General features: G+C 41.8%; 1 long non-coding RNA gene across 1 annotated transcript, besides 1 other annotated feature; it reads left to right on the top strand.

The window, feature by feature from the left end:
* Positions 5,303-6,502: an enhancer, noted in NCBI's record as "BRD4-independent group 4 enhancer chr12:47700100-47701299 (GRCh37/hg19 assembly coordinates)". NCBI's record gives its function as "activates an origin of replication core promoter dependent on BRD2, P300/CBP, MED14 and CDK7 cofactors, and independent of BRD4, by STARR-seq in HCT116 cells {active_cell/tissue: HCT116}" and the evidence as "EXISTENCE:reporter gene assay evidence [ECO:0000049][PMID:35650434]".
* Positions 5,420-6,902, top strand: LOC105369747 (uncharacterized). The gene is made up of 2 exons (NR_135024.1): positions 5,420-5,500; positions 6,139-6,902. It is a non-coding gene; the product is annotated as an uncharacterized LOC105369747 (long non-coding RNA).
* The last annotated feature ends 1,971 nt before the right edge of the window (positions 6,903-8,873 follow it).

The raw sequence follows: 8,873 nt of genomic DNA, 5'->3' as shown, positions 1-8,873 counted from the left end.
TTGGTATTACTAAAAAAAAAATCATGGGTCATTTACCAAAATCTCACTTTATATTCAGCTATTTTAGTATCACATTGACAAAGTACAGGGTTAGAAATACAAACAAATTTAGAAATGAGGAGGTAAAGCTAGGGGAAAACTAAAAGGCTAGAGGGTGGTTCATATAAAACCTAATTTAAAAATCTATGAGATTTTAAAATACGTGGGGAGTTTACAATCTAGTCTCCTATATTAACACTTCTGAACATTACACATAGTTAGCCATCAAATATTTATTGAGTTCTTCTAATGTGCCAGCCAATGCTCTAGGTGCTGAATATAGTGAACACACCAGAAAAAGTCCTGCCCTTAAGGAGGTTATAAGGCGGAGATGACAATGAACAAATAAACATACAAGGTGAATAACACATAAAATATATAATAAATGTTAAATAATATAGACTATGAAATATGAACATATATTAATAAACTTTTATTGTTCATTATATATTAATAAAATATATAAATATATTAAATGTTATATAAAATAATGAAAATATACAATAAATCAGGCAAGTATTATGACAAAAATTAAGTAGGATAAAGGGCAGTGGTGTACCTAGTGCATCTGACACCCTGAGCAGATCAATTTTTAAATATCTGCCTCCTTTATATGACAAATTATTATATGAAAAATTATATTAAATAATCGTGAAATGAAACATGCAGCAGAGTCTAAGAGGGCCCCCATGATGCCCACTGGTATGATTTGGGTCTGTGGCCTGCCCAAATCTCATCTTGAATTGTAATCCTCAGTGTTGGAGAAGGGGCCAGGTGGGAGGTGATTGGATCGTGGGGGTGGATTACCCCCTTGCTGTTCTCATGATAGTGAGTGATTTCTTGCAAGATTTGGTTGTTTAAAACTGTGTGGCACCTCCCCGCTCTCTCTTTGTCCTGCTCCTGTCATGTAAGACTTGCCAGTTTCCCCTTCACCTTCTGCCATGATTGAAAGTTTCCTGAAGCTTCTTCAGCCTTGCTTCTTGTACAGCCCGTGGCACTGTGAGCCAATTAAACATCTTTTCTTTACAAATTTCCCAGTCTTAGGCAATCCTTTACAGCCGTGTAAGAACAGACTAATACACCCACCTTATGCTATTCATGTCTTGTGTAAATCCCCTCCCCTTGAGTGTGGGTGAGACTTGTTAATTGCTTCTAACCAGTAGAATATGGCAAAGCTGATGGGATACGATTGTGCAACATAAAATTGTACCCCATCTTGCTTGGAGATGCTCACTCTTGCTAGCTTTTCTGGGTAGTGGGAGGGAGATGGTCTTGATCTCTTGTCCAGGCTGGAGTGCAGTGGCATGATCACAGCTCACTGTAGTCTTGACCCCTTGGGCCCAAGCAATTCTTCCACCTCAGCCTCCCAAGTAGCTGGGACCACAGGTGTGTGCCCCTGGCTATTTTTTTCTATTTTTTGTAGAGTCTCATTATGTTACTTAGGCTGGTATCAAACTCCTGGGCTCAAGTGATCCTCTCACTTTGTCCTCCCAAAGTTTTGGAATTACAGGCATGAGCCACCACACATGGCCTCTTGCTTACTTTAAGAAAGCAAAGGTCATGTTGAGAAAGCCCCATGGCAAGGAGCAGAGGGCAGTCCAAGACCAATATCCAGCAAGAGACTGAGGCCCTCAGTCCAATATCCCATGAGTTACTGAATCTTGTTAACTACTACCTGAGCTTGGAAGTGGATCCTTGCTCAGTCTAACCTCAGCTGACACCTTGATTGCATCCTTGTGAGACCCTGAAGTGGAGGACACAGTCAAGCCATGCCCTGATTCCTGACCCACTAAAACTGTGATTTTGTTTATCTTTTCCAAAAACCAACTTTTTATTTCTTTGATATTCTGTATTTTTTAGTCTCAAGTTCATTTATTTCTGCTCTGATCTTTTTTACTTTCCTTCTGTGTATTTTGGGTCTGTTTTGTTTTTGCTTTCCTAATTCCTTTATGTTTATTTGAAGTATTTCTACTTTTTTGAATAAAAATTATTTATATTTAATTTTATATTTCTTTCTGCTTTTTGATATAGGCATTTATTGCTATAAATTTCCCTCTTACTACTGCTTTTGCTGTATCCCATAGATTTTGGTATATTGTATTTCCATTTTTATTCTTTTCAAGAAATTTTAAAATTTTCTTCTTAATTTCTTCATTGACCCATTGGTGGTTCAGGAGCATGTTGTTTAATTTCCATGTGTTTGGGAAGATTTAGAGGTTCCTCTTGTTATTGATCTCTAGGTTTATTCCACTGTGGTCAGAAAAAACCATTTGATACATGATGTAATTTCTACTTTTTTGAATGTATTCAGACCTTTTTTGTGGCCTAAGATATAATCTATTCAGGAGAATGTTCCATATACTAATGAAAAGAATGTGTATTCTGCAGGATTTGAGTGAAATGTTCTGTAATTGTCATACCTATCCGGTCTACTGTGCTGTGTAGTTCAACTCCAAAGTTTCTTTGTTAATTTTCTGTCAGGATAATCTGTCGGTTTCCTGAGAGTAGAGTGTTAAAGTCCCTTGCTATTAGTGTATTTCAATCCATCTTTTCCTTTAGCTCTATTAATGTTTGCTTTATATACTTAGGGGCCCTAGTGTTGCGTGCATAGATATTTATAATTGTTATATTTTCTTGCTGAATTCACCCCTTTATTATTATTTAGTGACCTTCTTTGTCTCTTTTTGCAGTCTTTGATTTGTAGTCTATTTTATCTAAGTACGGCTACTCCTGCTTTGTTTTGGCTTCCAGTGGTATGAAATATCTTTTCACCCCTTCACTTTCAGTCTGTATGTTTTTGTTTTTGTTTTGAGACAGGGTCTTGCACTGTTGTCCGGGCTGGAGTACAGTGGCATGATCTTGACTCACTGCAACCTCCACCCCCCAGGTTCAAGCGATTCTCCTGCCTCAGCCTCCCTAGTAGCTGGGATTGCAGGCTCCTGCCACCACACCCAGCTAATTTTGTATTTTTTTAGTAGAGACAGGGCTTCACCGTGTTGGCCAGGCTGGTCTCGAACTCCTGACCTCAAGGGATCTACCCATCTCGGCCTCCCAAAGTGCTGGGATTACAGGCCTGAGCCAGCATGCCCAGCCAGTCTGTATGTCTTTTTAGGTGGAATGGGTTTCCTGTAGGCATTATATAGTTGAGTCTCGTTTCTTTATTCATTCATCCACTCTATGCCTTTTAATTGGAGAATTCAGTGAATTTACATTCAGTGTTATTGATAAGGACTCACTGCTGCTATTTTGTTGTTTTCTGATTATTTTGTAATTCCTCCCTTCCTTCTTGCTTTTTTACTGTCTCTCTTTGTGGTTAAGTGACTTTCTCTGGTAGTAAGTTTTAATTTGTTGCTTTTAACTTTTAGTGAATCTATTATAGGTTTTTGCATTGGGGTTACCATGAGGCTTATGAAAAACATTTTATAGATAAAACAAATTATTTTAAGGAGATAACAACTTATCTTAGACCACAAAGAAAAGAATGGAAACACACAAAGCAAAAGCAAAAAAAAAAAAATCTACAACTTCCTTACTCTCACATTTTGACTTTTGTCTTAATTTGCCTCTGTTTATATTGCCTATATTTTAACAGGTTAATGTAGCTATTATTGTTTTGGTAGATGCATCTTTTGGGCTTCATACTAGAGTTATGAGTGGATTGCACTCCACAATTACAGTGTAAGAGTATTCTGGGTTTGTCTACTTACTTAATTTTACCAGTGGGTTTTACACCTTCAAATATTTTATTTCTTCTTTTTTTCTTTCTTTAGTTTTTCTTTCTTTTTTCTTTTCTTTTTTCTCTTTTTATTGCACATTTTGCTTTTAGATTGATTGAAGAACTCCCTTTAGCATTTTTTGTATGACAGGTCTGGTGGTGGTGAATTCTCTTCCCTTTTGCTTATCTGGGAACGACTTTATCTCTCCTTCACAGGTGAAGAATACCCTTGCTGGACACTATTCTTGAATGGTAGTTTTTTTCTTTCAGTACTTCTTTGAAAATGTTATCCTACTCCCTCCTGGCCTGTATGGTTTCCATTGAGAAGTTTATTGCCAGATGAATTGGAAATCCTTTATATGTTACTTGCTTTTCTCTTGCTGCCTTTAGGATCCTCTTTGTCCTTCACCTTTGGGAGTTTATTATATGCCTTGGAGCAGTCTTATTTGAGTCAAATCTTATTTTGTGTTCTCTGACCTTCCAGTACCTGGATATTTATATTTTTCTCAAGTTTGGAAAGTTTTATGTTATTATTTCTTTGATTAAACTTTCTACCCCTTCCCCTTGCTCGACTTTCTCTTAAACACCAATAATTTTTAGATGTGGTCTTTTGAGTTAATTTTATAGGCAATCATCATTCCTTTTCATTCTTTTTTTTCTTTTTTCTCCTCTTACTATATGTTTTCAAATAGCCTGTCTTCTCTGCTATTGAGAGCCTCTAATGAATTTTTCAGTTCACCAAATATTTTTCTAAGTTCCAAAATTTTTGTTTTTCTAAATTATTTAGATTTCTTTGTTAAATTGCTCTGATAAATTTCTGAAATTTGTTTTCCGTGTTATCTTGGCGATCACTGAGTTTCCTTAAAACTGCCGTTTAGGGTCAGTCACTGGTTTCTTGTTTTGTCCATTTGGGGAGACCTTGGTTTCCTGTTTGCTGTTGTTTCTTGTGGATGTATGTCTATGTCTTTACATTGAAGGATTAATTATTTATTCCAGTCTTCTCTGTCTGGCTTGTTTTGATTTTTATTGGCTACAATTGCTTAAAGGTTCTTTATTGCTATGGACTGTCTTCTTTTCAGCTCTAGGTGGCGTCTTTACGCCAGGTTCACCTCAGCTCTAGTAAATGATCAGAGCATGCCCTTTCTGAGTGGCAGAGGTCCCTAAGGGGATATCCTGGCAGTGTAGGAAGGTTGGCTAGAAGTTCGTCCCCAGGAGACCTGTGGAACAAACCTTCTGCAGTATGGTGCTGCTGAACAGTCACTCTGATTTGGTGTCTTGTTTGGCTGATTTACAAAGCAGTTCCCAGGGCAGGGGATGGTAGTCTTCCCTCCCCACCGGTTCTGACTGTTCTCAGGGATATTTCTCTTTTCAGGCACTCACAGTGCTTCCTGTGGCTCTAAGGTAGGGATGGGTCTCTTGCCATGGAACCCAGGATGATGAAGTTGGTTATCCACCTCAACCTCATTTTTTCCAGTGAGAAACTGAGTTGGGGGAAATTATTTCTTGTGCTTGATACCAGTCAGAATGAGGGGAGAGACGTCACAAATGTGGAAGTGTGTCCAGAATTGGTGGGTTCTTGGACTCGCTTACTTCAAGAATGAAGCCGCGGATCCTCGCAGTGAGTGTTGCAGTTCTTAAAGATGGTGTGTCCGGAGTTTGTTCCTTCAGATGTTCAGATGGGTCCGGAGTTTCTTCCTTCTGGTGGGTTCGTGGCTGACATCAGGAGTGAAGCTGCATCCCTTTGTGGTGAGTGTTACAGCTCTTAAAGGCGATGCGTCTGGAGTTATTCCTTCCTCCCGGTGGGTTCATGGTCTTGCTGGCCTCAGGAGTGAAGCTGCAGACCTTCGCGGTGAGTGTTACAGTTCATAAAGGTGGCGTGTCCGGAGTTGTTTGTTCCTCCCATCTGGAATTGTTCGTCCCTCCTGGTGAGTTCGTGGTCTCGCTGGCTTCAGGAGTGAAGCTGCAGACCTTCGTGGTTAGTGTTACAGTTCATAAAGGCAGTGCCAACCCAAAGAGTGAGCAGCAGCAAGATTTATTGCAAAGAGCTAAACCCTCCACAGCGTGCAACGGTACCCGCGTTGTGGCTGCTGGCTTGGGTGACCTGCTTTTATTCCCTTGTATGGCCCCACCCACATCCTGCTGGTTGTTCCATTTTACAGAGAGCTGATTGGTCCATTTTGACAGAGTGCTGATTGGTGCGTTTACAAACCTTTAGCTAGACACAGAGTGCTGATTGTGCTGATTGGTGCGTTTACAGTCCTTTAGCTAGACACAAAAGTTCTCCAAGTCCCCACCCAATTAGCTAGACACAGAGCACTGATTGGTGTGTTTATAAACCTTTAGCTAGACACAGAGTGCTGATTGGTGCATTTACAATCCTTTAGCTAGACACAAAAGTTCTCCAAGTCCCCACCCATCCCAGAAGCCCAGCAGGCTTCACCTTTCACTGGCACTGGCTTGACTTTGCGGCACCTATCCTGGACACTCCGGCAACCCAGAAGGAGCTCGTCCCAGACAACCAAGAGGAAAAGGGGAAGCCAGAAAGAGACAGAGACCCGCCATCGTTGCCAACAACTCGGTGAAGAGGGAATGGCGATCCAAGCAGGGGACCCAGCCTCTGATCAAGCCCAGCAGGCACCAGCCTGCTGCCCGGAGTGCGGGGCCCTCCGAGCCCGTGCCCACCCAGAACCCATGCCGGACTGCAAGCACCGCGCAGCCCCAGCTCTCGTCTGCGCCTCTCCCTCCACACCTCCCTGGAGCAGAGGGAGCCGGCTCCAGCCTCCGCCAGCCCCAGAAAGGGGACCCCACAGCGCAGTGGTGGGCTGAAGGGCTCTTCAAGCACGGCCAGAGCGGACGCCGAGGCCGAGGAGGCCCCGAGAGCTAGCAAGGGCTGCTAGCACATTGTCACCTCTCAGAAGTCCAATTCTCTTACCATCTGCTTAGAGTTTTTCACTTCTTTGTGGCCCTGGGAACTCTTTTTCATATATGAGTTCTGGAATATTTCTGGTGATAATCTTGACATTGTACATTTGGTTTTGGTTTATTGTGGAGGGAGTGAAGTCAGCATGCTTCTATGCTGCCATTTTGGAACTGGAAGTCCTCCTGACCCACAGAAACAGAAATAATAAATGTGTATTCCTTCAGGCTAGTAAGTTTGTAGCACTATTATTACACAGATAAGTAATGATACCGGAGTGCTGGGAAGGGAAGAGGGTGGTCCCTGGCTGGGCCTCTACCCCCAAGGACCTAGGTGAGGACGGTACTCCTGTCTTGGTGCTCAAATGTTGCATTTCCCAAAACTACCCTGGCCTGCCATGCCCCCATCCTGTGCCTATAGAAACCTCCCAGACCTAGCAGGCAGACACAGAAGTGGCTAGACGTCCACAGGAGCACATGGGCGGAGGCACACACAGGCGGCTGGGTGTCAAGTGGAATGCACTGGCACAGGCAATCCAGCAGGCACCCCGATCCGCAGAACAATACGGAGTTTGGCTGGGGCAGTTGGAGGAGAGCCTCGTTGATGAGCGGCCCAACTCCGGGGGAGAACCGTCTCCCTTCTGGATCCCCCATTTGCTGAGAGCCACTTCCACTCAATAAAACCTTGCTCTCATTCTCCAAGTCCACGTGTGATCCAATTCTTCTGGTGCACCAAGGCAAGAAACCCCGGGATACAGAAACCCCGGGATACAGAAATCCCTCTGTCCTTGTGATAACGAAGGGGGTCGAATTGAGCTGATGAACACAAGTCACCTATAGACGGGAAACTAAAAGAGCACCCTATAACACATGCCCGCTGGGGCTTCAGAAGCTGTAAACAATCACTCCTAGACACTGCCCTGGGGTCGGAGCTCTATATAGCCTTCCCATCTCCATTCTCCCTTAGAGGTTTGAGCAGCGGGGCATTGAAGAAGCGAGGCACTCCCCCGTCACACACCCTGTGAGGGGGACGAGGGAACCTTTCCCGTTTCGGTAATACAGAGCACATATTAATAATGGCCAGAAAAGAAAAGCAGACAGTGAAAATTTTGTTTTGTTGGACTTCATATTTATTATCATGCCAGTAAAAAAATTAATAATAAAAAAAGAATAAATAAATAAAGGCCAGGTGCGGTTCCTCATGCCTGTAATCCCAGCACTTTGGGAGGCTGAGATGGGTGGATCACCTGAGGTCAGGAGTTTGAGACCAGCCTGGCCAGCATAGTGAAATCCTGTCTCTACTAAAAATACAAAAAAAAATTAGCTGGGCCTGGTGGCAGGCACCTGTAATCTCAGCTACTTGGGAGGCTGAAGCAGGAGAATGGCTTGAACCCAGGAGACAGAGGTTGCAGTGAGCCGAGATTGTGCCATTGCACTCCAGCCTGGGCAACAAGAGCAAAACTCCGTGTCAAAAAATAATAATAATAATTAATAAATAAATAAGAGATCAAAAAGGAAAAAATTGATTAAATTTTTAAAGCATTAATTTTTTTAAAAAAGAAAAACATATCTATATATTGCTCTGTCACAGGCATGAATAATACTGTAGTTTCTGTTTTTAAGCCTTCTTCAAATTTGTCATTGGCTCTATCAATGGCTTGTTCCTTCTTGCGTGTTCATGTTAAATTCAGAGCATAGCAAGATTTGTCAATTTATATTTGCCTACAGTTGATCCTTACATAGGGATATGTCATACCATGGGGCTTGAGCCTGCCAACTGTACCCAAAACTTGAATGACTCTCAACTATAACAAATTTACTTTTGAAACAAACATGTATAGTCATGTCCACTTGTGTCAGGGCCAGCTGTATAGCTAAAGTTCCCTGAATTAACTTCCAAGTAGAATGCCATCATTTTTCTTAAGGGTTAAGCAATAAAATGTGCTAATTTAAAATGTGCATATTCATGTTTAAAGCTCAAAAGTGACTGTGGCAACTGTTTAGAACTTAGACCAATAGAAAATTTGTTTTTGTTTTTTTCCTTGGGGAAGAGTATTCCATCACTGATGTTGTTTAGAATTCCTGCTGCATAGTGATAATAAAAAGTAGCCTGAATATTAGTCTGAATGTTTTATTATTGTTGGTCTGTACCTGGGGCACACTCCATGAATCCTTGGTGCACTGTGGTGAAAGAGACAGAATA

This window comes from Homo sapiens, chromosome 12, assembly GCF_000001405.40.
Source record: "Homo sapiens chromosome 12, GRCh38.p14 Primary Assembly".
Lineage (NCBI taxonomy): Eukaryota > Metazoa > Chordata > Mammalia > Primates > Hominidae > Homo > Homo sapiens.
The sequence above is the reverse complement of the archived record's forward strand: the minus strand, read 5'-3'. Positions and strand labels throughout refer to the sequence as shown.